Source organism: Homo sapiens, chromosome 17 (genome assembly GCF_000001405.40).
Source record: "Homo sapiens chromosome 17, GRCh38.p14 Primary Assembly".
Classification (NCBI taxonomy): Eukaryota; Metazoa; Chordata; class Mammalia; order Primates; family Hominidae; genus Homo; species Homo sapiens.
In genome coordinates, this window is record NC_000017.11 from 73,420,604 (window position 1) to 73,447,472 (window position 26,869).

A 26,869-nucleotide genomic window follows, 5' to 3' on the forward strand; every position below is an offset into this window, starting at 1 on the left:
TACAGGCATGAGCCACTGCACCTGGCCCGCTCCTGTGTTTTTGTAGAGGCTGGGGTAAGGGTGATTTGGCCTTTTTCTTTTTTGTTTTTGAGGAAAGATTTCACTCTTGTCCCCCAGGCTGGAGTGCGGTGGCACGATTTCACCTCACTGCAACCTCCGTCTCCCGGGTTCAAGCAATTCTCCTGTCTCAGCCTCCTGAATAGCTGGGATTACAGGCACGTGCCGCCATGCCTGGCTAATTTTTGTATTTTTAGTAGAGATGGGGTTTCACCATGTTGGCCAGGCTGGTCTCGAACTCCTGACCTCAAGTGATCCGCCCCCCTCAGCCTCCCAAAGTGCTGGGATTACAAGCGTGAGGATTTGGCCTTTTTCTTGGTGACTCAGGGCGGTTTGCATGAAGGTACATTAGGAAGGTGAGTCAGTGTGATGCGGTGCAGCCGCAGGGCAGGAGAAGTTGCAGGGTAGCTTCCCCTACACTTTCAGCCTCTCTGTTGTTGGGATTGTGTATCTCCAGATGCACTGGGGCTATGTCTGTTCATTCCCTGTCCTCCCTCCAGTGGTCCAAACGTGGCATGGCACACGGTAGCTGCTCAGTAAACAGTGAGTATGTAAATCCCCCTGTAACTGCTCTCCACACGGGCTGCCACCTGCCACTGCTCCCTCCCGTGAGATTGTTTGACCCCAGTGGTGCTACCTTAGTACAAGCCAGAGAGACCCAAGCTCATTGCAACTGTGGCAAAACCACCATGATTGATTTAAGCCCCAGGCGTCTTTCAAAGAGCCAAGTGCAAGGCTTTGCGCACGTGATTTGTATCACGGTTGTTCTGACCTCTCCCATGACATCTTTCTTGCTAGAGGTGGCTGCTTGTTCTACGGAGCTGGAGAGGATAGAATTCTCCTTCTACATAGATGGGTATCACCGTGTGATGTTTTTATATGAAGCATCTGCAGCTTTTATTCAATTTCCATCTTTTTTTTTTTTTTTTTTTTTTGAGACAGTCTTGCTCTGTCATCCAGGCTGGATCTCGACTCACTGCAACCTCTGCCTCCCTGATTCAAGGGATTCTTGTGCCTCAGCCTCCCGAGTAGCTGGGATTACAGGCGCCCACCACCACACCCAGCTAATTTTCATATTTTAGTAGAGACTGGGTTTTGCTATGTTGGCCAGGCTGGTTTCGAACTCCTGACCTCAGGTGATCCGCCCGCCTCAGCCTCCTGACGTGCTGGGATTACAGGTGTGAGCCACCGTGCCCAGCAATTTCCATCATTTTATAAAAGCTTTGCGGGAACCCTAGCAGGGCCTGGCGTCGTGCAAGACATGGATATGGAGATCTGTGTAGATCCTGTATCTCTGGAATTTTGCATCCATTTAACAATGACAGCAGCCCATGCGGATGTGGAGTGGAAGGAGGTGAGCCTTTTTGCTTGCACAGCTCCCAGTAACTGGGATGACTACATTTGGTTGGTGCTCACCGCGTTCCCCAGTGCCCTACTCAGAGCACCCCATTTAACCTTTGCAACATCCTGGTGAGGCACTCATCAGGATTGCTCTCCCCTTCTACAGAGGCGGAAGCCTAGAGGGGGCCAGGAGGAGCTGAGCCAGAATCTGCCACATCGGTTTCGGCTGCAGCCCCTGCCTGTTGGAGTCCTGGCGACGCCCCTGTAGAGCGCCAGTGCCCTCACCTCTCGGTGTCTTTGCTGAACTGTCCTTTCCCCACGTCGTTGACGGCACAAAGACGGAACTGGTAGGAGCGTGCAGGAACCAGGCCCTTGACTGTCACTGAGGTAGCTTTGGGGTCCACACTGGCCAGGAGTACAGTCCAGGGGGCATCTGCAGGGACAGTGAGTGGGGCAGAAGTGGGTATCTTGGGTGGGATGAAGCATGCTTCTTACTCCCCACTCCCAGCAGGGTCCAGCTTCACTGGGGCTGGCAAGAGAGAGCCTCCCCAGCTTGGTGCAGGAGTGGCCCGCCATGCCATTTTTCTAGGTCCCATTAGCTCACACGACCCTGGGGAGGAGACGGTGGAGGGTGCCGGAGGAAAGTAAGGGCTTATGGGAACTGAGATGCATTTGTCTCCCCCACTACCCCCCACAAATTGATGAGCTCTAGGCAAGCTGTGTTTAAAATGCCATTCAGGCTGGGTGTGGTGGCTCATGTCTGTAATCCCAGCACTTTGGGAGGCTGAGGCGGGCAGATCACCTGAGGTCAGGGGTTTGAGACCAGCCTGACCAATATGGTGAAATCCCATCTCTACTAAAAATACAAAATTAGCTGGGCATGGTGATGTATGCCTGTAATCCCAACTACTTCGGAGGCTGAGACAGGAGAATCACCTGAACCCGGGAGGCAGAGGTTGCAGTGAGCCGAGATGGCACCATTGCACTCCAGCCTGGGTGACAAGTGTGAAACTCCGTCTCAAAAATGAATAAATAAATAAATAATAAATAAATAAAATGCAATGCGAATTATGCCTGCTCATTTGACTTGGGGAATACATAAATAAATAAATAATAAATAAATACTGGCCATTTTCTTTGCAGCTTCTGCTGTGCCAGGCCCTGAGTTAAGCACCTTTTGTGCGTCATCTCTTTCAACTGTAACAGGGCCTGACAGGCAGATGCCTGTGTTTCCTTCAGAGATGGGAACGCTGAGGCTGCCAGAGGGAAGGATCTGCTCAAAGGCCCAGAACTAGGAAGCAGGAGAGCTGGGACCCCAGCCCAGGGCTGACTCCTAAGTCCAAGCTTGGGCGGGAGGTGTTGGAGGTGACCACGGGAAGCTTACTGTTCTCCGACATCTCCAGAATGTAGCGGATCAGGGGGCTGTTGCCATCAAAGGGCTTGGTCCACGTCAGGTTGATGGCTCGCCTTTCCACGGTGCTGAGAGTGGCCACTGGGTGCTCGGGCGCGTGGGGCAGTTGCCTGGAAAAGAGACACGTGGTCAGGCATCCCTATGTGGTCTGCAGGCAGGTGACGGGGGCGCTGTGGACACAGGTTGTGTAGGCCTTGACCTTCCATGATACCGCATGCTTAGACGTAAAATGTGGCCTTCGGGCCATCTACCTGGAGATTTTTCTCTCTGGAACCAGAGCCCTCCTGCTAAAGCCATCCTCACACCCCCCTGCTCTTGACGGAGGGCCTAACTGAGCTGAGAGAAAGGCCTGGAAGGATGCTGGGGGTATGTCCTGAGCAAAGCTGAACAGTTCAGGTCACACGTGGCCTGGGGATCTGAAAAAAGGGACTCGGCTGGCTCTGAGCATGCCAGTTGCTATTGCCTGGACCGCCTCTGCCGGGGTCTGGGAGGGCTGCCCTTACCTGACTCGCAGGTGGGCACTGCGAGAGTCGTTGCCTCCTGCTGAGATCACCCGGCAGGTGTACGTGCCGATGTCTCCCGACCACGTCTGTGAGATGTGCAGGGAGCCGTTTCTGTCCAGGCGGATACGAGGATGGCTCTCCGTGCCCAGGGTGGCCCCGTCCTTCTCCCAGATGTACCTAAAAGTAAGAAGAACCCGTAAGTACAGAGGGAGAGGAAGGTACCTTGGGAGTGGGCCTAGCCTGAAGCTTGTCCCGAGAAAATAGCTCCAAAGCTGGGCAGAGGACAACTGCAGGCAACAGCCAGGCAGGACACTGGGATCGGGGAGCGGGACACTGTTGAAGGCCAAACAGTCTGGAAGCCCATCGTTCCTGCGGGGAGGGTGCAGGAGAGTGGGAGAGCGAACGCATTCAGTCATTATTGGTCGTTACACCTTCAGTTCAGGTTGGGTCAAAGCGTTGTTGCTTCTGGCCAGAAGCGCTTGCAAAACAGCCAGTGAAAGGTATTCTTCTGAAGAGGCTGAAAGATTACAGCTGAAAAAAGGAATGCAAGTTTCCTCATAGTCACATTTCTGAATTAGTTTTATGAGGGGAATCATTATATCAATGCATCAGTGTGACAAATTGACTATAGTGTCCAAAAAAATCCCTTTAGCTTCGGTCAGTCAATACAAATGGGGCTTGAGAAATTACACACGCATCAGTGCTTGACAATAAAAAATATCTTCTCTGAATTTGTTCTTGAGGAAATAGAACCATTATCATTGTCATCAACATACAGGGAGTGCCAGCCCTGGGGGGCAGGATGCCACACAATGAACCCAGGCGAGGTTGGCCTTGGTTCTCAGTACAAGTGTGAGGAACCCGGTGGTGGCTGAGATGCTTTGCAAATAGCCCCGTTCAGCTGGGGTACAGGGTGGGGGCCTGAGCTGCTGGCTCCCAGGACTATCTGGGTTTACATAATGTCAGATAACTAGGGAGAGTGAATCTGTAATATTTTTAACCTAAGTTTCAAAAGCAGAACCAGGCTGGGTGCATGGCTCACACCGGTAATCCCAGCACTTTGGGAGGCCGAGGTGGGTGTATCACCTGAGGTCAGGAGTTTGAGACCAGTCTGGCCAACATGGCAAAACCCTGTCTCTACTAAAAATACAGAAATTTGCCGGGCGTGGTGGCCAGTGCCTGTAATCCCAGCTACTCTTGAGGCTGAGGCAGGAGAATCACTTGAACCCGGGAAGTGGAGGTTGCGGGGAGCCGAGATGGTGCCACTGCACTCCAGCCTGGGCGACACAGCAAAACTCCATCTCAAAAACACACAAAAAGCCCCCCCAAAAAACAGAAGCAGAACCAACAGAAAAGTAAAAAGTACGGGTAAGAAAAATAAAAAAAGAAAGGAAAAGAAAAAGAAAACTCAAAAGTTTTCTGATACTAGGGAACCACGATTAACATTTGAATGTGTGCATATCTTCCAGACCCTTCTTCCCCGCCCGGATAGGCAGTGCACTGCAGCACTGCTGCATTCAGGAGTCAGACTCTCAGGCCAAATGCTGGCTTTGCTACTTTCCAGCTTTGTGATCTTGGGTGAGCTAATTTATTAATGAATTTATTTATTTTAGACAGAGTCTGGCTCTGTCGCCCAGGCTGGAGTGCCGTGGTGCGGTCTTGACTCACTGCAACCTCCACCTCCCAGGTTCAAGTGATTTTCGTGGCTCAGCCTCCCGAGTTGCTAGGACTATAGGCGAGCACCACCACGCCCGACTAATTTTGTATTTTTAGTAGAGATGGGGTTTCACCATGTTGGTCAGGCTGGTCTCTAACTCCTGACCTCAAGTGATCCACCTGCCTCAGCCTCCCAAAGTGCTGGGATTACAGGTGTGAGCCACCACGCCTGGCCTTGGGTGAGTTTATTTAACCTTGCTAGGCCTCAGTTGCCTCACCTGTAATATGAGGAAACTAACACCACCCACCTCATAGCACTGCTGTGAGGATTGTGCAAGCTAATATAAAATAGAGAAGTGCCTGAACCACGGCAAGCGGTCAGTAACAGTTAGCCTTTGTTACATATTTTAAATGATACAGTATATTTACATGAATGGTATACAGCAATCTATTCAGCCATCCTATTTTTATATTTTATTTTATTTTATTTTGAGACAGAATCTCACTCTGTTGCCCAGGCTGGAGTGCAGTGGTGCGATCTTGGCTCACTGCAACCTCCGCCTCCCGGGTTCAAGCAATTCTCCTGCCTCAGCCTCCCTGGTAGCTGGGATTACAGGCCTGCACCACCATGCTGGGCTTTTTTTTTTTTTTTTTTTTTTTTTTTTCTGTATTTTTAGTAGAGACGGGGCTTTGCCATGTTGGCCAAGCTGGTCTTGAACTCCTGACCTCAGGTGATCCGCCTGCCTCTGCCGCCCAAAGTGCTGGGATTACAGGCTTGAGCCACCACGCCTGACCAGTCATCCTGTTTTTAAAGCTGCTTTTTGACTCAATAAAAATATCATAAACTCTTTTTGATGTGATATTTCCACACCATGATTTTTTATTGGATGCACATGTGTCAGTACAGCTGTTTTGTAATTTAACCGATCCCATAATGTTGGACATCCAGTTTAGCTCCTTGGTTTCTAATATTATAGTTAAAGCTGTGGTCCTTATGGCAAAATGTTTACAACCATTCCAAATCATTTCCTCAAGGACAAATTCTCAGCAGTGAAATCGTTGAGTTAATTTTTAAGTCTTTTAATACCTATTTACAAATCAACAACAGTAATCACCTTCAATTCATCCCTTTATTTAGAAAGGACTTGCCAGCACTCACAGGATGGGCAGAATTTTACTTAAAAGCAAATTTAGTTGCAGAGAGTAATTCCCATGTAAGAAATAGCCTATGGGGGCCGGGCGCGGTGGCTCATGCCTGTAATCCTAGCACTTTGGGAGGCCGAGGCTGGCGGATCATGAGGTCAGGAGATTGAGACCATCCTGCTAACACGGTGAAACCCTGTCCCTACTAAAAATACAAAAAATTAGCCAGGCGTGGTGGCGGGAGCCTGTAGTCCCAGCTACTCGGGAGGCTGAGGCAGGAGAATGGCGTGAACCCGGGAGGCAGAGCTTGCAGTGTGCCGAGATGGTGCCACTGCACTCCAGCCTGGGTGACAGAGCGAGACTCCATCTCATAAAAAAAAAGAAAAAAAAGAAATAGCCTATGGCAAGCAGACATTCTTTGCTTCAGAATGTGGTGCTTTAGGAAGCAGAGATCACTGCCTGTGAAGTATTTGTGCCAAAACAATTGAACATGAATCTAATTAGCAGTTACTGAAATTGAATTATAAATACAGAGGATAGAAGAACAGGTTAACAACACTGTGAGACAGCAGCCAGGCCAATCCAGAGTGTTGAATATTCCATAGCAGGATCAACAAACTATGGCCTGCTGCCTGTCTGTGTAAATAAAGTTTTATTAGAACACAGACATGCCCATCTGTTTACTTAGTGCCTGTTTACATATGGCTGCTTTGGCACTATAAACAGAGTTGAGTAGTCATGACAAGACCATATGGCTCTCTTAAAGCCTAAAATGTTTACTTTTTGGTCCTTTACAGCAAAGATTGCTGACCTCTGTCTTCTAGAACCTGGTTTCTCCAACAAATCAATTACAAAACAAAAACAAAGATAAAAATAAAAAAGAAGTCTTTTCAACAAACAGTGCTGGAAAACCTTGACATCCACATGCAAAAAAAAAAAAAAAAAAAATCTAGACACAGATCTTACACCCTTCACAAAAATTAACTCAAATTGGATCCCAGAGCTAAATGTAAAATGCAAAGCTATAAAACTCCTAGAAGATAATACAGGAGAACATCTAGATGACCTTGGGTTTGGCAATGACTTTTTAAATACGACACCCAAGGCACAATCCATGAAAGAAAGAACAGATAAGCTGGATTTCATTAAATCAAACATTGCTGCTCTTTGATAGACACTTTCAAGAGAATAAAAAGAGAAGCCACACACTAGAAGAAAATATTTGTAAACGATATCTTTGATAAAGCACTGCTATCCAAAATCTACAAAGAACTCTTAAAACTCAGCAATAAGAAAACAATCTGATTAAAAAATAGTCATTGACAGATGCCTCACCAAAGAAGGTACACAGAAGACCAACAGGCAAATGAAAAGATGCTGTACATCATATGTCATTAGGGAAATGCAAATTAAAACAACAACGAGATATCACAGCACAGCTATTAGAATGGCCAAAATCCAGCTGGGCACAGTGGCTCACGCCTGTAATCCTAGCACTTTGGGAGGCTGAGCTAATTTTTTTTGTATTTTTAGTAGAGACGGGGTTTCACCATGTTGGACAGGATGGTCTCCATCTCCTGACTTCATGATCCACCCGCCTCGGCCTCTCAAAGTGCTGGGATTATGGGCGTGAGGCACGGCGCCTGGCCAGAGTGTTTTTTTCTAGAACTATTTTGGAGGTTTTCATGCTAGAAACCTGCACCCGCCCAGGCCCTCACCCCTGCACCTGGCTTTGCTCTGAGGACGTGTCACTCAGGATTCAGCGGCACCACTTTAGTCTGGTTTGGTTGTTGAGATCCTTTCTATTAGGTTGGTGCAAAAGTAATTGCAGTTTTGACCATTCCTTTCAAAGGCAAAAACCGCAGTTACGTTTGCACCCACCTAATAGTCTGCTTAGGGAACCCTGCTGTGTTTTGCAGATAGAACAGGGTTTTCAATCCTGGTGACACATTAGAATCACCTGGGGAGCTTCTTAAAATTGCTGAGGTCTGGGTCTCACCCCATCCCCAAGATCTACCTCAAGACGGAGGGTAGAAGGGATGTCCCCGTCCCCCCAGTCCAAGGAAGACAGACTGGGGTGGGAGCTGCTGGGGTGGCCTTGGGCATAGACTTTGCCAATTTTGGGGGGGATAAAGGGATGATTCTGCTCCCCAGAATCATCCCTTTGATGAAAAGATGGTCCTAGATGGTTAATTCCGTTTAAGGCGAGGACCTCCCTTCAGTAACCTGGTACAGGGATTTCTGACCTGCAGTTCACTGGAAGGGCCTACAGAGTGGGTCTGCAGGTTACTTTGCAAGAGACCCCCGAATCCCATTATGCATCAGTAACTGTCTAGAGAATGAATACAATGTATGTCTTTCTCAAATAAGTTGACACTTTTTATAAGTAAGTCATCTTTTTTATAAATAAAGTCTGATTTAAAGTATACTGAATTTCAGAATTTCCCTATTAATGAATGCTAAAAGTATAGCTACTACACAATGAATGGGCCCGAGATACACAGCAGTATTCTATGTGGGTTCTCTCCCAGGACCTTTTTTACAGTTGGTATGTTAATTTTTTAAGAAAAATCTATTAAACCCAGAAATAAGCATATTCTGGAATCTCAGTCAAAAATCTTCTAACTATTAATACATCTATGTACATTTTTGCATTTGTGCTAGCGTCATGTGATGACTGCCTTAAGTGGTCAACACTTCATGAGGTGTTTCTCAAACTGGGGCCGCTGATATGTTCTCTGAGAATCAGTGTTGGCCAAAAGCCTGGAGCCCCTTGTACCAACCTGGGCTCCCCGGAGTCTCATTTGGGGGTGGCTGTACAGACTGTCATAGGTCCAGTGGCCACCAGATGGCGCCCCAGGACGCAGCTGCCTTCGGCATGAGGAGGAGGCCATTTCTCCCAGTGCAGGAGCGCCGGCCCCTTCTAGCCTCGGTGCCAGTTGCTTTGACAGTGATATTGCTCATAAAATAGAGAAGCAACACGCAGGGAATATTTATTTCTAAGGAAGCAGTTGCATTTCCCTCAGCATTCTGGAGCTCAAGGAAGAGAAGGCAGGGACAATCTCCTCCTGGTTTTAGCTTCCAAAGCCTTGGGGGTGGGGGTAGGGTTTGGTTCAGGTGCTTGGGAGGGGTCCCGGCTTTTATACCTTTCTTGGCTGCTTCCTCCCAGCCCTTTTAGTGGCTTCCACAGAGGCGGGACTGAGTTACCTGGAAGCCAAGTCCCTTGCCAAGGTCCCGGCTTGGCCATGGAAGATGGTGGGGTGACCTCGGTTTGGAGGCTCAGTTTCCCACATGTGCTTCTCTTGCAGGGTCCCCCCAGGGGTCATCTCCTGCCCCACCCCTATAGCTGATCCCATATCCGCCTGCCCAGACCCCTCTGCTGCCCATTCAGAGGCCAGAGGGCCAAAGACTTGGGGTGGGCTGGGGGACACTAGCAGTGGCGTCCAGGGCCAGAGACAGCAGCTCCTTCCCTTCCATGCTCACTAACCCACAAGCCTCTTCCTTTCCCCTCCCTCACCCCCTCCTCCATTCCTCTTACTTCATCTTTCTGCACCCCTTCCTCTTTTCCTCCCACCTTGGAAACTGGCTTAACTCAATTCAGGGTAGCTCAGTTCCCGGGTGTTTATTTCATACCCCCTACCTCTCAGCCCTGCACTCAGCTCTGGAAATGCCACTGCCCAGGAGAAGGCGTGGCTCTGCAGCTGTTACCTCCCTAATGTGGACACTCGCCCAGCTACAAGCTATTGCCAGAGGCTCCCCCTCCCCTCTTGCCTGGAGTCAACAGCAGAGCCAGTACCTGATGGTTACTCGGGGGTCGTGGGTCACTCCGCACACCATGGAGGCCTGGGTGCCCTTGATGACACTCTGATCCTGGGGGGGCTTGGTGATGCGGGTCCGAGCTGAAAGATACAGCGGAGACAGCATGGTGAGAAGAGGTGTGGGGGCTGTGTGGCTGGACTCTGGGTGGATACCATATGAAAGCCCCCAAATGGTTAAAAAGAACAATGAGCTCCCTGGTACTTTAATTCTTGGAAGCCACGTCATAGTTGGGGCTCATTAAATTTTGCTCTCACAAACCATGTATGGGATGGAGAGACCAAACTCTAAGGACGATCAGGACCATATTTTCAGCATATCAGTGGTCCAGCCAGGGTAAAAATAGGGCTTTCTGATTTCCAGTCTAGTGCTTCATGCACCAGGACCCCTGGGCTCAGCCCAGACAAGTGGCCCACAGGTATGCTGGGTGTGGATCCAAAGTTGGAAGTGGCTTGAGAAGCTCTCTTACAGCAGGGGTCGGCTAACTACAGGCTGGGGGCCAAATCCGGCAGGTGGCCTTTTTGGCTAAATAAACCCTTACTGGAACATAGCCACGCCCATTGGATGACATACCGTCTGTGGCTGCTTTCTAGATAAAACGGAAGCTAGTTGAGTCGTTGTGACAGAGACCGTCTGGCCCACACAGCTTAAAATATTTATGATCTGGCCCTTTCTTGAAAATATTTGCCGATTTCTGCCCTAAAATATATGAAGGCAGCTCTCCTATAACTTCAATGTTCTCTCAAGTCGGCCAAGCATAGCATCACCGGCAGAATCTTCCTAGTCCCTGGCCTCTGAACCACTTTGTCACTGTCCCTCTGATGAGAAGGGCCCTGACTGGGACAGACACTGGGGATGGAGACACTGGTGGTATGAGCCTGTGCCCCGTAGCTGTCCTGAGTCCTCAGCACCTACAGGGATGTACACACGCACACACAAATGTATAAAGCCCTGTGGCTCTGCACACTCACCCCAAACGACTAGGTCTGCTGAGGCCTCATCGACCCCCCGAGAGTTGGTGGCCAGGCAGGTGTAGGTCCCCGCATCGGAGATGTGTGTGGGGCTGATGAGGAGGCTGCCCGACTCCAGGGGTGTGAAGCGAGGCAGCTGCACAGAGCCACTGGCCAAGATGCGCTCCCCTGAGGGCAAAACAGGGTGGGGGTCAGCCTGTAGCCCCCAAGGGCACACCCTGCCCTTCCCTGGCCGCTCCAGGGCAGCATGGTCCCCCCACAGGCCCCTGGCTCTGGAAATGCTGGAAGGAATGAGGACAGATGGCGGTGGGGCTGGGGTGGGGGCTGAGAGACCTGGAGAGCTTTCTGGCTTAGGGACGGACACGAGGGCACAGGGTCTCAGAGCGGGCAGCCTAGAGCCCAGGTCCCCTGATGCTCCTGTGCCCGCCACACCACGTGCCCTTCAACAGAGAAGGGGGCGCAGTTTCCTGATGACGGTGAGCAGTAGCCCGGCACAGCCCTCAGAGGCAGCTGGCACCCGGGTTGGGGGAGCTGGCGGGGGGACAGCTCTGACAAGGTGATGACGGGCATCCTGCGGCAGGATGCTTCTGGGGAGAGTCACCTTCAAGAGAGTGAAGGGAAGTGACGGGAGCTGCCTGGAGTGGGGGTGGGGTAGAGAGGGACACGCTGTCCCCCAGCAGCAGCCCTGGTCAGGACAGACCTCCTTCTGCAGGGGGACCCAGGGAGCCTGGGGCCCAGCCTGGGAGGGTCCTGGCCAGAGAAAGAGGGGGAGAAAGAGAGAGTGCAAGTGCACCTGCAGGAGTGAGCCTGGGAATGCAGGTCTTTGTGACTATGTCTATTTTAAAGAACCCCCCACCCCCGTAAGGAAGGGAATCTCCATGTGTCCATCTGGGGGTCGCATGTCCGTTTGTACATGCGTGCAGGCACAGTGAACTGAGTGTGCTGGGTGGATGTGTTTATTTCCATGTGTAAGCACGTGCCTAGGTGTGCCCCTATTATCCCCACAAATGTTTATTGAGTGCCTACCGTGTGCCAGACTCTGTTCTAGGTCCTGGGAGACGGCAGTGGACAAAACCGACACCCCTGACTTTGTGGGGAGACAGGCCATGAGCTAGGTAAATAAGCCGATGACCAAATGCATGAGAAGGTGGGGAGTGAAGGAGGTAGGGCTGGAGGGGAGGGCTGGGGGCTGGGGCAGGGTGAGTCCTTGGAGGAGGCACCTCTGAGCTGGGGCTTGCCGGTGTGAAGGAGCAACTGTGTTTGTACGTGTGTGTGCACATGTGTATGTACATGTGTGTGCATATGTGTGCACATGTGTATGTACGTGTGCATGTATGTGTGTGCATGTGTGTGCACATGCGTGTGTGTGCATATGTGTGTGTGTGCAGGGGAGAGTTGTGAAGGTGAGTGTGCACACACAGAGGTGAAGAGGAAGCACACAGGGCAGATGGCCTTAGGGAGGTGGCTTGGGCTTTGCTGGTTCCGCCATCTGGAGCCCTCTGAGCTGCCTGGGGTAGGAGACTGGCAGCAGCCACCACTAGAATAATATTCATCATCAAGCACCTATCGTTTCCTGGGCTTTCGGACTCCCAGGCATAATGCAGGACCCTCACATGCACGCTATAGTCTAGTCTTCACATCACCCTGGGGTATATATATTATTGTCACCAGTTTACAGATGGGGAACCTGAGGCTCAGAGTGAGTTAGTAACTCACCAGGGTGGCAGGTCTTGGAAGATGAAGAGCTGGACCTTGAGCCTGGCAAGGCTGGGATGTGAAGGATGCTCTTTTTTTTTTTTGAGACGGAGTCTCGCTCTGTCTCCCAGGCTGGAGTGCAGTGGCACAATCTTGGCTCACTGCAAGCTCCACCTCCCAGGTTCAAGCGATTCTCCTATCTCAGCCCCTTCCCCAAGTAGCTGGGATTACAGGCAACTGCCACCATGCCCGGCTAATTTTGGTATTTTTAGTAGAGACCGGGTTTCACCACTTTGGGCCAGGCTGGTCTTGAATTCCTGACCTCAGGGTGATCTGCCCACCTCAACCTCCCAAGATGCTGGGATTATAGGCATGAGCCACCGCGCCCGGCCGAGAGATGCTCTCTTGGGTTGTACAGTGTATGACCTTCACAAGTGTACGTGGGGAACCCAACCTGGCTGGCTCCAGAGCCTAGTTCTGAAGACTCTTCTAGGCTATCACCCAGCCACACTCTCTGAAGGTGTGTTCCATCTACCTTTCTGCCAAGTGATAGCTGGTCGGGGCGCCCCCGAGGTCTCACATGCTAGCACCACTGACATGCCATCGATCACCGTGCTGTCCAGGGGGCCTCTGGTGATGTTAGGGGCGATGCCTGCAAACAGAGAAGTGGGGCCTTTTAGCCACACCCTGGGAGATGTCCCCCAAGCCAGAGGGCCAGGGGCCTCCAAGCCCACCGAGGGCCAGGCCCTCATCCTCCCCCTGCCATGGTGAGGGGCCCTCCACGAGGAAGGATGTAGGCATCTTGATGGAGCCCCAGTGTTTGGAAGAAGCCCGGAGGGGTCATGAGGACTCCCCTATGCCACCTGCCCTGTGGAAGGACCCAGGTGACACCAGTCCCCACACTGCTTGGATTCTCAGGCCTGCATTTGGGGGAAACTGAAGACCCCAGGAGGCAGCTCCCATCCTCCCTGACAAGGTTGTTGGGGTTTACAAGCCAAAAGTGAAAGGAAGGCTCTGGCTTCTTAAAAGAAAAACAGCCACAGCCAAGAGGGGGACTTCTGCCACTTTCTAAGTGGCCCTGCCCCAGGAGCTCCATTCGGCCATGGCCACCGTTTAGGGTTGGGGCAGCCTCCTGGCTTTGCACTCTCCTTGCCCCATCCCAGCCCTCAAGGAAGGAGCTCGCCAGATGGGCGTGGGAACAGAGCTAAGTTCACCTGCACTTGGAAGCCAGAAGCAAGACGGCAGCCCCTTGGTAGCCACCTTTGGGGCACACCTACAAGCTCTCTGCCCCACAGCTGCCCTGTCCGCGGCCTCTGTGGGTCTGGGTGATGAACACCGTGGAGCTCAAGGAGACCCCTGAACATCCCCATTCTTCCTGAGGAGCCCACCAGTGCTTTGCATTTACACAGACCTTTGAGCTTATGGGCCACTCACAGTATCATCTTTTTTCTTTTGTTTTTTTGAGACAGGGTCTCACTCTGTCACCCAGGCTGGAGTGCAGTGGCGCCATCTTGGCCTCTGCCTCCTGGGCCTGAGTGGTCCTCTCACTTCAGCATCCCTAGTACCTGGGAGTACAGGTGTGTGCCACCCTGCCTGGCTAATTTTTTGTATTTTTGGTAGACGAGGTTTCGCCATGTTGCTCAGGCTGGTCTCAAACTCCTGGGCTCAAGTGATCCACCCCCCTCGACCTCCCGAAGTGCTGGGATTACAGGTGTGAGCCACTGTGCCCGGCCCACAGTTATCACCTTTGATTGCTAAAAACAGCTCTGGGAAGCGGCCAGGGCAACTATGGCAACCCCTGACAGAGACTCCAAGGGCAGAAAGGGATTTGCGAGCAGGAGAACTAAGAGAAAAACACCAGTTTTCTTCTTTGGAAACATGAGCAGGTCTTCTGGAATGGGGTTACTCCAGCCCTGCCTGGGAACCCAGGGATAGTCGCAGTGCCAGAGCTGGTACCCGTGGTTGGTTTCATAGCTCCTTTTCTCAAAAAGCCGTGAACGCAACCTGGGCCCCAGGACATTGGAGAGAACTTCTAGGGACCAGAGATTTCCTCCAGGGCTCTGGACTCAGGGCTGCAGAGGCAGCAGCGGTAACTGGCTGTGCCCCCAGGCTGCTGGGCAGCAGGCGGCCTTTGGGGATCCTATCTGCTTAATGGAACGTGCTATGCACAAGAGGCCCCTCGGAAGACCTTGGAAGAAAGCTGCGTCCTGGGAAGAGGGGCTCACGGGCAGCACAAGGGAAGGCCCAACTTACTGGTGACAGCCAGGTAGGTGGAAGTTTGCACCTCGCCGGCTGCATTGCGGGCGAAGCACTGGAACATGCCGGTATCATCGGGCACCAGGCCGCTGATCTGCAGGCCCCCGTCGTTGCGCTGCCGGAAGCGGGTCAACTTCTCCACCTCCACCACGGCTGCGTCCTTGTACCAGGTGATGGAGGGCGGCGGCACACCTGTGGGCAAGACGTGGGCCCACCGTCAACCTGCCTCCTGCCTCCTCTCCGCCTAGGAGGGGTGCTTGGGAGGAGGCCGGGCCCGGAAATCTGCGAGGGGGTCCCTGGTGAATCTTGGTGTCTAGAACCTTCTCAGAGGTGCCACTTTGGGTCTAGGGAGAGGAGGAAGATGCTCTTTGAGTGGTAATTCTCAAAGTCTTTGGGACAGAGTAAAGATCCGGGAATCAGTTTAGCATGGAAACTGGATTGGACAAACTAATTTATTTATTCTATTTTTTATTTCTATTTGTGTAGAGATGGAGTCTTGCTAGGTTGCCCAGGGTGGTCTAGAACTCTTGGTTTCAAGCGTTCCTCCCACCTCAGCCTCCCAAAGTGCTAGGATGACAGGTGTGAGCCACTGCACCTGGCCTAATTTCTTATTTTTTATTGCAGTACTTAGCAGACATGTATGTGTGCTCTGGGAACCTCCAAGTGGGGGATGCTTTCCCAAACGAATGGCGCCCTGTGTCGAAGAGCACGTAGAGGGTCCAGTGTTCCCTGGGGGGCACTTGGAAGCCCCCCATACCGGCTTTGCACATGGAGGTGAAAGGAGGAGGCTCCTCTCCTCGCTCTCAGCCTGGCACATTGTTTTCATAAGTTCCCCCAGCTGGGCTGGGCCGTGGTGGCTCATGCCTGTAATCCCAGCACTTTGGGAGGCTGAGGCGGGTGGATCACCTGAGCTCAGGAGTTTGAGATCAACCTGACCAACATGGTGAAACCCTGTCTCTACTAAAAATACAAAAATTATCCTGGTGTGCTGATGCATGCCTGTAATCCCAGCTACTTGGGAGGCTGAGGCAGGAGAATCACTTGTACCCGGGAGGCAGAGGTTGCAGTGAGCCAAGATCGTGCCACTGCACTCCAGCCTGGGCAACAGAGTGAGACTCAGTCTCAAAAAAAAAAAAAAAAAAAAAAAAAAGACTTCCCCAGAAGAGTTGGCCACACCCTATTCCAAGGAGCACCCCACGGCCCTGTCCCCACTAAGCCTGCTTGCCTTCCCTTCCCGGCACCCTTTGATCCTGACAGCCTGTGATGCCACATTTCATCCAATCCACCATGCGCTCTCTTTCCCATGGTCACGTCTCCGAGATCAGGATGTGTCTTATAATCAACAGCATGTCATAATTTAATTGGCTGCCTTTTTTCTTTCTTAGTGGTCCATAAAATAATGGGGCATCTTACAACCCATGGCATTTTAGATGAGATGAAATAAGTTCTCTTTATTTGTTTATCAGCTTGCCCATCTCCCTCCCGAGAATGTTACATTCTACGCGAGCAGGGATCTGGCTGTTTGGTTTATTATGTATCTCCCCACTCCTGAGGACACTATCGGCACATGGTAAGCCCTCAAAAAATATTTGCTGCCTGAATGGATGGATCTTTGCCTTCCCCTTGTGGAGTCTCAGAAGGGAAGTCATTACTCATCCCCTCCAGCACAGTCCTCATTCCTGCAGAGACACATTTTGCCCCTTTGCTCAGCGTGTCCCACTGTGCACGCTCTTCTCTCTTTATCATCCCGGATTTCACCCTGGCTGCGGGCTGTCTTTTGGCGGAAATGAATCAGAAGGAAGGACGGTGGGGAAGGGGAAAGTAGAAATTCTCCAGGAACTCTTTCAAGGGGGGTTAAGTAGGAATAGCGGAGGGAGCTGGCAGAGGAGATGGAGCAAAATGGCCCAGGAAACAGGCTGAGCTTATAAGACACATCTCAGGTGAGATGCACCCGGGGGCTGCTGGTTCTGGCATTACGGTAATTTGTCATTGTCTACAGCTCTCAAATTTTGGGAAATTTGGGTCTGTCACCTGTCCTGAAATTACTGTAAGTTGGGTTCATTTGTAACCCTCAAGTTTTGGTACCGTAAAGGTTGATTTCCAGCCTGAGATTATGGTAATTTGGCCTGTTTGTTTCCTGGGGTGCCTGCTCAGACAGCCAGACAGACTCTCTGCCTAGTGACATGGTCTCGAGAAGAAGCTGGAATTTAGAAATGTCCACAATGAGGATGGGAGAGGCTGAAGATCTGGGGTCTTTGTCCCCCTCCAGCGGTGCCACCTCATTACCTTTGGCCTGACAGGGGATGTCCACCACCTTCTCCATCTCCGCAGTGATGTGTCTTTCTGGCTCCTTGACAAACTGAGGCGGTTCTGCAGGAGGAAGGACCAGGGGAGGGGGTCAGAGCCATGCTCGCTTTGATCCAGCCACTGTAGGGGGTCACCCTTAAGGAGGACCCTCGCCGTGCTGCCCCTACCCCTCAGGGGAGCCCTAGCAGCCCCACCCTCTCTCACCCAGCACTGAGAGGTAGGCGCCCCGGACAACAGAGGGGACGCTGCTGCTGCGCAGGACAGCCTCACACTCGTAGTAGCCGGCGTCACTGCCGGTGGGGTTGGGGATGGTGAGCCGGCGGTTGTGGTCACTGATGCCGCCCGACAGCAATACCCCGTCCTTCTTCCAAATGATATGTAGCTTGATCAGGGGCCTGCAGAGGGCAAGGGAAGGCCAGTGTTCAGCCATGAGGACTCCCAGAGGCCTGAGAGGCAGGGCAGGGGGTGGTAAGGAGTGTGGGCTTGGGAGCCGGGCTGCCTGGGTTTGCCACCTTCCTGCCACTTTGTAGATGCAAGATCTTGGGCAAGTTCCCACAGGGCTCTGGGTCTCACTTTCCTCTTCTATAAAGTGGGCGCATCTGTGCCCGCCCAGGGGGTTGTAGCCAAGATGAATGCATTAGTGCCAGTGAAGTGCTTGGAACAGGGCCTGCTGATGGACTTGGAACTCAGGGCTTGGCAGCTCAGGCAAAGCAGGAAAGCAGCCTGGCTTGCAGCTCTTTTTTCTGGTCTTCCCTGTGTGCTGTGCCCCATCTGACCACAGATCAGTGACACGGAGGAGATGAAGGTGAGGGCAAGTGACAGACAGAAACATGAAACACCCAGAGTTTGAAAAGGGGAAATAAGGGCAGACAAGACAGACAGACAGACAGACAGACAGAAAAACCCATTCCCCAACTGCAAGAGAAGAGCAAGGGTGTGAGTCTGGCCTGGCTTTCCACCATCACCAACCCCTGCACCCCCAAGCCCCCGAGACTTGGGTCTGTCCAGACACTCCTGTTTAGCACCTGGTGGGTCCCTGAGGACGGATCTTCCAAAGTGGGCCCCTGCTAGTGCCATGGGGGTATTCAGAAGGGCCCCATGGAAAAGGAGTTCTGTGGCCGCATACGTCTGGGAAACAGCGGCTTGAGTGACAGTAGCTTGAGGTGACGCTGGGCAGTTTCTTCATCGAGGGGCTTCTCAGGGCTTTCACTGCACAGTTGCACCCTGGTGGCCTTGCCCAAGTCCTGGGGTTTGGATGTGTGTCCTCTCCAAGTCTCATGTGGAATTGTGATCCACAATGCTTGGTGTTACCCACTTGGTGATGGAGTGAGCTCTTACTCTGTTAGTTCATGTGAGGGCTGGTTGTTTAAAGGAGCCTAGCTCCTCCTCCCCTCTCTCTTGTTCCCTCTCTTGCCATAAGACACGCTGGCTCCCCTTTCTCCTTCTGCCATGATTGGAAGCTTCCTGAGGCCTCCCCAGAAGCAGATGCTGGTGCCATGTTTCTTGTACAGCCAGCAGAGCCGTGAGCCAAATAAACCTCTTTTCTTTGTAAATTACCATGTCTCAGGTATTCCTTTATAGCAATGCAAATGGGCTAATACGCCATGCCTGTGAGAAACTTGGGATGGGAGGAGCATACTTTTAGAAATGCTGCCAAAAATAACAACAACAACAAAAAAGGCTGGACACGGTGGCTCACATCTGTAACCCCAGCACTTTGGGAGGCTGAGGCAGGAGGATCACTTGAGCCCAGGAGTTTGATACCGGCCTGGGCAACATAGTGAGACCCTGTCTTAAAAAAAAAATGCTGCTACAGGACATGCTCTCCCTCTCCAGGAAGTTTCAGGTCAAGGGGACCTCAGGGGGATCATCAGTCTAACCCCCTGCCCATCCCATTGGTTTAACTTTATAGTGCACTTAGGAAGGGTCAGGTCAGGCTGGGTCAGCGCGCTGCCTATGCGCCTTCCGCTGGGGTTGGTGCTCAGATCATTCCCATTTTACAGATGTGGAGACTGAGGCCCAGAGGGCGGCAGTGAGTACAGGCCTGGGGGAGAGGGGGCAGTGCATTTCAACTCAGCTATCATCCAGCTGGGTGACGTTGGGCAGGCCACTTGCCCTCTCTGGGTTCTGAAGTGGTGACACCTATGCCATACATTGTTTTGGGAGGAAAGAGGTCTTGTGGGAAGGTGCTTAGCAGGATGCAGGGCACGGAAGGCACTTAGCCACACATAATGAGGCTCAGGGGTTTCATAATTGTTTCCTGTGTGGGAGAGGTGAGGGCCGCACATGGCTGGGAAGGGCTCGGGTGGCTCCTGACCCCTGATCTGCCCTACTCCAAAGCCCATACTCTTTTTTTTTTTTTTTTGAGATGGAGTTTCACTCTTGTTGACCAGGCTGGAGTGCAATGGTGCAATCTCAGCTCACTGTAACCTCCGCCTCCTGGGTTCAAACGATTCTCCTGTCAGCCTCCAGAGTAGGTGGGATGACAGGCATGTGACACCACACCTGGCTAATTTTTGTATTTTCAGTAGAGATGGAGTTTCTCCATGTTGGTCAGGCTGGTCTTGAACTCCCGACCTCAGGTGATCCGCCCGCCTCAGCCTCCCAAAGTGCTGGGATTACAGGTATGAGCCATCGCGCCCAAAGCCGTACTCTTAACCACCATGTGAATCGTTTCCCATGCACACTTCCCTCCTGCACAACCCTGCATGCAAGAGGGCTCGCTTTGAGAGGCCACCCACTCCCTCTGGGCTCCTCCAAGGGTTAGAAGTGAGTCCACCCTCCCTCCAGTCCTGTACGTCCCAGGCTGACGTCCCCTTCCCTGTAAGTTCCATCCAGGGCCTGGTTTTCTCTTCTTGGGCTACAGAGAACAAGCCAGCCCTGGTTGTACACAGCAACCCTCTGACAACAGCCAGCAGGTCTCCTTGCATCCCTCCTCCCCTGTCCTGGATCCTCAGGTGATGTGGCTTCTGGCTGCTCTCCCTGGAGCCCGCAGTTTGGGAGCAGCAGCTGGAGTTACGGGTGCGGGAGCGAGGGAAGATGCACTACCTACCTGGCATTGGCCACACACTCCAAGGTAACCTCTGAGGTGCCGGCCACCACGCTGGTGTTTTTAGGTGGGATGATGATGGTGGGTGCGATGGGGTCTGCAGGCCCCCCTACATCTGGAGAGAGATCAGATGTTAGCTGGGGGCGAGGCTGGAAATCCTATCCCTGCCCAGCCTCATTAGAGGCTGATGCCCTGGGAGGTCTTTGTCCTTACCGAGTGGAGCAGGTGGCCATGGGGGCAGCCCCAGAGCAGACCTCCAGACACTGACCCCAGGGACTACCTGATCCCTCTACTTCCTCTGTTGATGAGTCACCACACCAGGGTCCAAGGAGAGACATCGCTGACCTTGACGGCCTTCCCCACCCCTCCTGTAAAGCAGCCACACCCCCCTCTCCCCACCACCACCCTGTCCTGTTCCATTCCCTTCAAATCCTTCCCTCTGCCCGGGTTGACCTTGTTGGTTTAGTTCTGCATTGTCCACGTCCTCCACCAGAATGCAAACTCTCTGTACGAGGTCAAACAGAGTCACCGGCCCCCTCCCCCAACACACCTCCCGCCAATTCATGCCCATCTGGCACCTGTAAATGTGACCTTATTTGCATATAGGATCATTACAGGTTTGTAATTAGTTAAGGTGAGGTCATATTGGATCAGGGTGGGCTCAAGATCCAATACGACTGGTGTCCTTGTAAGAAGAGGGAAATTGAGACACAGATGCACAGCCTGGAAGACTCTGTGAAGACAGAGGCAGAGTGAAGAGATGTGGCCACAAGCCAAGGAATGCCAAGCATTGCTGGCCACCACCGGAAGCCAGGAAGGGGCAAGAAATGAGACTCCTCTAGAATCTTCAGAGAAGTATAGCCCTGCTGACACCTTGATTTTCAGACTTCTGGCCTCCAGAACTGTGAAAGGCTCAATTTCTGTTGTGAGCCACTCAGCTGGTAGTACTTTGTTGTGCAGGCCATAAGAGACTAAAATTCTCCCTGACCAGGAACCTCATGGGTCTTTGCTGTGGACTGAGCTGTGTCCCCCACCCATTCATATGTTGAGCCTTAACCTCCAAAGTGATGGCATTTGGAGGAGTCCCTTGGGAGGTGATTAGGATTAGATGAGGCCACGAGGGCCGGGCCTCATGAGGGCCAATGAGGGTCCCAAGGAAAAAGAAAAATGTTCTCTTAACATATTGTCAACTTTTGCTTAGAAAAGCATGTAATACTTTAATTCTCTCATTGAATGAAATGAAAGAGTTAAGGATGAAACTCTCAGAAAGCAGGTTTCCAGGTACTTGTTAGGTGTGTATATTTCCATATTTCAGATTCATGTCCTTATAAAAAGAGGAAGAGGCCAGAGCTGGCTCTCTCTCCGCCATGTGAGGACACGGCTGGAAGGCAGACATCTGCAAGCTGAGAAGAGAAGCTGACCATACTGGCTTCCCAATCTGGGACTTCCAGCCTCCAGGATGGTGGGAGCCAGAACATTTGCTTTGTAAGCCCCCAGCTGTGGTGCTTTGTTATGGCACCAAGAGCTGACTCATGCAGTCTTTTTTTTTTTTGGACGGAGTCTGGCTCTGTTGCCCAGGCTGGAGTGCAGTGGCACGATCTCGGCTCACCACAACCTCTGCCTCCCAGGTTCAAGTGATTCTCCTGCCTCAGCCTCCCAAGTAGCTGGGATGACAGGTGCCACCACCACGTCCGGCTAATTTTTGTATTTTTAGTAGAGACGGGGTTTCACTATGTTGGCCAGGCTGGTCTTGAACTTCTGACCTCAGATGATCCACCCGCCTCGGCCTCCCAAAGTGCTGGGATTATGGGTGTGAGCCACCACGCCTGGCCAACTCCTGCGGTCTTGACGACCACCTCTCCTCCAGCACGAAGAAGGATGCCTGGCACACAGTAAGTGCTCAAATACGTGTGTTAAGTGAACAAATGAATGGATCTAGAGTTACCATCATCCAACTCCCAGGGTCGATGATTGAAATGAACAAGAACTTCCTGTAAGTGGGTTTTATTGGAAAAAAAAAAAGAGAGAGAAACACTCCAAACTCCTCTTCTAATAGAGGTGGTAGCAATTCCTTTTTTTTATATTTTGAGTTTTTTTTTTTAAAGTAGAGGCCAGATTTTCATCTTGATGGGTCAGTGTAGGCCCGATATTGGCATAAACTCCAATATTCTGTGTATGCCTGATCCATGGCTCCTGAAAATACAACCTCTGAGGACTTTTTCTCCACAACAAATCTATCCAGTTGGCCCCTTTCCAGAAGGTTCTGGAGGTAGTAGGCCATGATGACATGCTGGGCCCTGCGGTGACAGTGACAGGCTGTTCTTTATGGGGTTAGGGGCAGGGTGCACAGTGGCCCCACTGCCCCTCTGGGCCACCTTGTCAGCCCTGGGCAGGTTTTCCTTCCTTGACTCCAGGCCTTGCTAGAAAAGGCCCAGGAAGAATGCGCATAAAATGTAAAAAATAAAGTAAAATGAAGGGGGAAAGAAAGGAAGCATATAAAGCAAAATAATTGCAACAATATAAAAGCCTCATGTAGGTGCCATAACGAGCGATCGGATTGAAAGCTGCTGATATAGCTGAATCCATAAAAGTGTGCTCTAAGTTGTTTATTACATGCGGGGGCGCGCAGGTACCACGGCTCAGATTAATGGGGCACAAGTAAGAGACAGACAGTTAGAGCCCAAGCCAGAGCGCCGCATGGCACAGCCAGGTAAACAGGGAGACCTCAAGGAAGGCGAGTTCTGAGTTTAAAAATACGAGGGCTGCCCCAGGGCTCAGGGCTGGCTCGTTGGCTCTGGAAGGAATGGAGGAGAGATGGCCATGTGCTCAGGCCCAGGTGGCAGCCTGCAGGGCTCGATGGGGGCTGAGGTGGCCAGGGATGCTGGCACAGTGAGAAAGGGTCCCAGGGGTGAGGAAGACCTGGGCTCAAAGCCTAGCTCTGCCCCCAGGTATCCTGGTGACTTCATCCTACTGAGTTTCAGTCTTCTCAGGGGGGAAATGGGGATGAAAGTCACTACCTCTCAGGGTTGTATGAATTCAGGCCCCAGCTCAACAAATCTTTCCTAGGTGAATGCTTGACACGTGCCAGGCTGTGTTCCAGGCACCAGAGATTCTCCACCAAGCGAGATGGCCAGGGTCTGTCCTCATGGAGGGTGATGTCCCAGAGGAAGTCGAACCAATGCTCGTGGGGTTAATGAATGAAAGAGCGTGTGATGGTTGCCGGGAAGGGGGCAGCTAAGCTGGTCTGGGGTGACTGCAGAGTGCCTGGTACACAGTAGGTGCTCAATAAATGACAGCCTCCCCTCCTGGAGATTTGCCTGCCTGTGCAGGGAAGAGCTCTCCCTGCTAGCCCTAGTCCAAGTGACAGACTCAGAGGCTATGGAGAGGTGGGAGTCGCAGGCTCGGGGACGCACATTAAGCCCTGCAGGGTACCGGGCAAGGCCTCAGGCATTTCATGGCGTGGCTCCCTGGGAGACAGCGGGAGTTGAGTGGGTCTCAGAGAAGTGAGTCCTGGAGCAGATTTACTGTTAATGAAGGTCACCCCAGCACAAGTGGGTTATTGGGGTAAATGGGGCTCCAAAGGCCAGACCATGAAAATCACAGGTGAGCCCGAGCAAAGAGGAGGGGTGTCTTCCCGGTGAGCTCCTGGCATAGGGTGGGCCCTGGGGTGGGAGGAAGTGTACGGGGCTCCCCACACGGGGGGCCTCACTGGATCTCACTGCCCCAGACGCTTTGCGTAACAGCCAGGACAAGGGACATCTAACGTGATCCATCCTCCCTGAATCACCTCATTGAATCCTCCCATTTTTGCCATAGGCACCAATTTACAGATGGGGAAACTGAGGCTCAGAGACCATGTGACCCACCTGTGCCACCTCATTTAGTCCTCCCAACTTTGCCATAGGCACCAGTTTACAGATGGGGAAACTGAGGCTCAGGGACCATGGGACTCGCCTGGGCCACAGGTCGGTGAGCGGTGGGGCAGGGGTGTGAGCTGCTCCCCTCTCTTGGGCAGGCTTCTGGGATGCCTGTTCTCCAGCTGCCCAGGAGCCAGGGTATCCAGGCCCTGTGACCTGAACCACCCAATGCAGGGGCCATGAGCCACACGTGCCTATGAGCTCCTGCAATGTGGCTGGTGTCCCTTTGATTTAATGTGATTTAATTTTAACTAATTTACATTTAATTAAGAATGGATCCCCAATTCAGTTATTAGAACACTTTTAAGCATGTACGGAACAACTTATGCATACGACTCTACTTTTCAGCTATAAATTTTGTGAAATCTAAATACAGATCACGTATTTCGGGTGAAAATTTCACATCCAGATTGAGATGTGATATAAGCGTAAAATACACAAGGATTTCAAAGACTTAGTATGCAAAAAACCAATGGAAGATATCCCATTAATATTCTTTACATTGATTGTATGTTAAAAAGATAACTTCTTGTTATGTTGGGTTAAATAAAATAGAGTAATAAAATGAATGTCAACGATTTCTTTTTACTTGGTAAAAAAATGGGGCTACTGGAAAATTTAAAATTTCGCATGTGGTTCACATTCTATTTCCTTTCGACAGTGTAGCCCTGATCCCCGGTATCCACCCAAGCATGGGGTTTTCAGGAGCTGTGACAGTCCGAATGAGGTCACCAGGGTTATCCTGAGCAGGGGGCAACTTCTGGGGTCACCAGACTTGCTCTTTCCTTCTCTGGTTCTGAAGAGCATAGGGTCCCTATAAAGAGGTGCAGAAAGCTGGACTTCCTGGAGTCCAGGAGGGATGGAGGAAGCGGTGCGGAGGGGAGAGCAGACGGAGGGGTGAGGCCCAGGAGAGGAATGAGGGGAGCTGGTGCTGGTGGTGGGCGAAGCGTCAATTGCTCCTCACAAATTGGTTGGCAGGCAGGCAGGCAGGCAGGCAGGCAGGCTGGGGATTTGTGTCACAGAGAGGAAGAGGGTTTTCAAGTGCAGTCACTTGTGGAAAGAGAAATTAGCTAAAAATCAGCGGATTCTGCTCTGAATTCAGGATAAATCAGCGTGTGATGGCAGGAGGCCAAGAGGCAGTGGGGTGGGAGAAGCAGGTGACTAGGCAGGGCTTGGGTGGGTACAGGGGGTCAGAGGTGACCTGCCCACCTCCCTGGGGCCAGCTGGAGGGTTGGGTGGTTTGGGATGGAGCAGAGAGCGAATGACTCCCAAAGTCAGACAAGAAGAGTAGCCTAGTTTAACGCCTATGAGGAGGAGCTGGATGCCGGAGAAGGGGAACAGACAGGAAGGCCCCGACTCTGTCTCAGGGTAAACTGAGTCACCTAGGAGGATGCCTGGCTTTGACTTGGACCATGAACCACTCCTGTGTCTTTGACATTGTCTCTTACCAAATGACGGGATTCCATGAGACTCCAGGGAATCTGATCACTAGAAAATATATGGGGAGAAGCATCTCTCTTTGATGACTAAATTCCCTTCTCCTATAGAAACAGCAGCCCCAGGGTATGGGCTGGGGCCCAGGCTGCTGAGACTTGACTGAGACCCTGACTCGATGTCAGAGGTTACACCCTCAACCCTGACGGTCAGTCTCCAGATATACTTGTGACGCCGATGGGTCAGTCTCCAGAATGAAACTCTCCTCCCCGCATTCAGATTTCCTTCTAGGCAGACTGGATGCTGAGTAGGGGAAGGAGATCCCTGGGATAATGGGAAGCGGTTCCTGCTGAAGTGTGAAAGGCCCTGGAATGGGGATGGCAAGGCCTGGGAATGTCCTGGGCCCTCTGGACATGGACAGCAGAGGCTAGGATCAGAATAAGAGCACAGAAAGGCCCCAGGCTGGTCCACACCCTCATCTTGCCGCTGGTGGGCAAGTACCATCGTGACCAAGGATGATAAATGAGGCTTACTTTGGGAGCAGGAGTTGTACAGATGTGGAGGGAGGTGAACATCTGCCTCCCCCAGCTTGTGTGATGGCTCAGCTGCTGCTGAGGAGGAAGCTCTGGCCTCGCCCCACATACTCTGGGATTTGGGCCTACGCTGCTCCTGGGCTGTCCACCCCTCCCTCCTTCTCTGTCTTGGGAATGGAGTATGGAGGGAGGGGCTCGTCCAGTAGGGAGAACCAGGCCAGAAAGAACATCCCAGCATCTCGTCCCTCCAAAGAAAACTGGCTTCAGTCTCGGCTGGACAAGCGTCTCTTTGCCAAAGCACACCAAGGGAATCACGCTTTTGTGTGTGTCTCACTGTGTGGTGAGTTCTAGGGAGGGCTTTGCCCTTTTCGCCCAGGGAGCTGGAGGTGTCTGAGGATGGAGGTGTTTTAGGTGGGTGCCTGGGCAGAGGGCCTGTCTTCCCATCAGCAGGGACCACCTGGCTCCCAATATAGACAGCACTTCTTATGTGACAGCCAAGTAGAGACAGTTAGTATATTTCTGTAAAAACAAGCTTCAGCCCTGCAATCACCCACATGCCCTCCTGGTCAGCATCTGAGCCCCGATAGTGGCTGCAACTCACACATGCACACGCTCTTCCTCTGCCCCACCCCTCCCTGGGTCCCTGGTAGCCCTGCTAACAGTTGTGCTAAGCATCCTCTCTACCGATGCAGGATCTCAGGCGTGTCATGGGAACGGGCTCCAGCGTTCAGCTGCTCCTTTCCTGCCCAGGCACCCCTGGCTCTGCTGTGTCTCGTCCTC

General features: G+C 52.0%; 1 protein-coding gene across 5 annotated transcripts in view, besides 2 other annotated features; it reads right to left on the bottom strand.

Annotated features, from left to right (window-relative positions):
• The window catches only part of SDK2 (sidekick cell adhesion molecule 2), a 310,062-nt gene that overhangs the window by 86,220 nt on the left and 196,973 nt on the right, over positions 1–26,869 (bottom strand). For all 5 annotated transcript variants that reach the window (XM_047436313.1, XM_011524914.3, XM_011524915.3 and 2 more), the window contains exons 6-15: positions 20,209–20,320; positions 17,361–17,551; positions 17,136–17,219; positions 14,847–15,041; positions 13,129–13,245; positions 10,899–11,066; positions 9,908–10,010; positions 3,313–3,489; positions 2,783–2,919; positions 1,684–1,831 (exon numbers count right to left, since the gene is read on the bottom strand). In XM_047436313.1, the coding sequence (XP_047292269.1) occupies positions 1,684–1,831; positions 2,783–2,919; positions 3,313–3,489; positions 9,908–10,010; positions 10,899–11,066; positions 13,129–13,245; positions 14,847–15,041; positions 17,136–17,219; positions 17,361–17,551; positions 20,209–20,320 (1,432 nt within the window). The remainder of the gene's footprint in view (positions 1–1,683; positions 1,832–2,782; positions 2,920–3,312; positions 3,490–9,907; positions 10,011–10,898; positions 11,067–13,128; positions 13,246–14,846; positions 15,042–17,135; positions 17,220–17,360; positions 17,552–20,208; positions 20,321–26,869) is intronic.
• Positions 8,852–8,901: an enhancer, noted in NCBI's record as "active region_12698". NCBI's record gives its function as "activates an Ori minimal core promoter by ATAC-STARR-seq in GM12878 lymphoblastoid cells {active_cell/tissue: GM12878}" and the evidence as "EXISTENCE:reporter gene assay evidence [ECO:0000049][PMID:35858748]".
• Positions 17,451–17,951: an enhancer, noted in NCBI's record as "H3K4me1 hESC enhancer chr17:71434193-71434693 (GRCh37/hg19 assembly coordinates)". NCBI's record gives its function as "activates a minimal SCP1, AML or CMV promoter by ChIP-STARR-seq in primed H9 embryonic stem cells {active_cell/tissue: H9 hESC(primed)}" and the evidence as "EXISTENCE:reporter gene assay evidence [ECO:0000049][PMID:30033119]".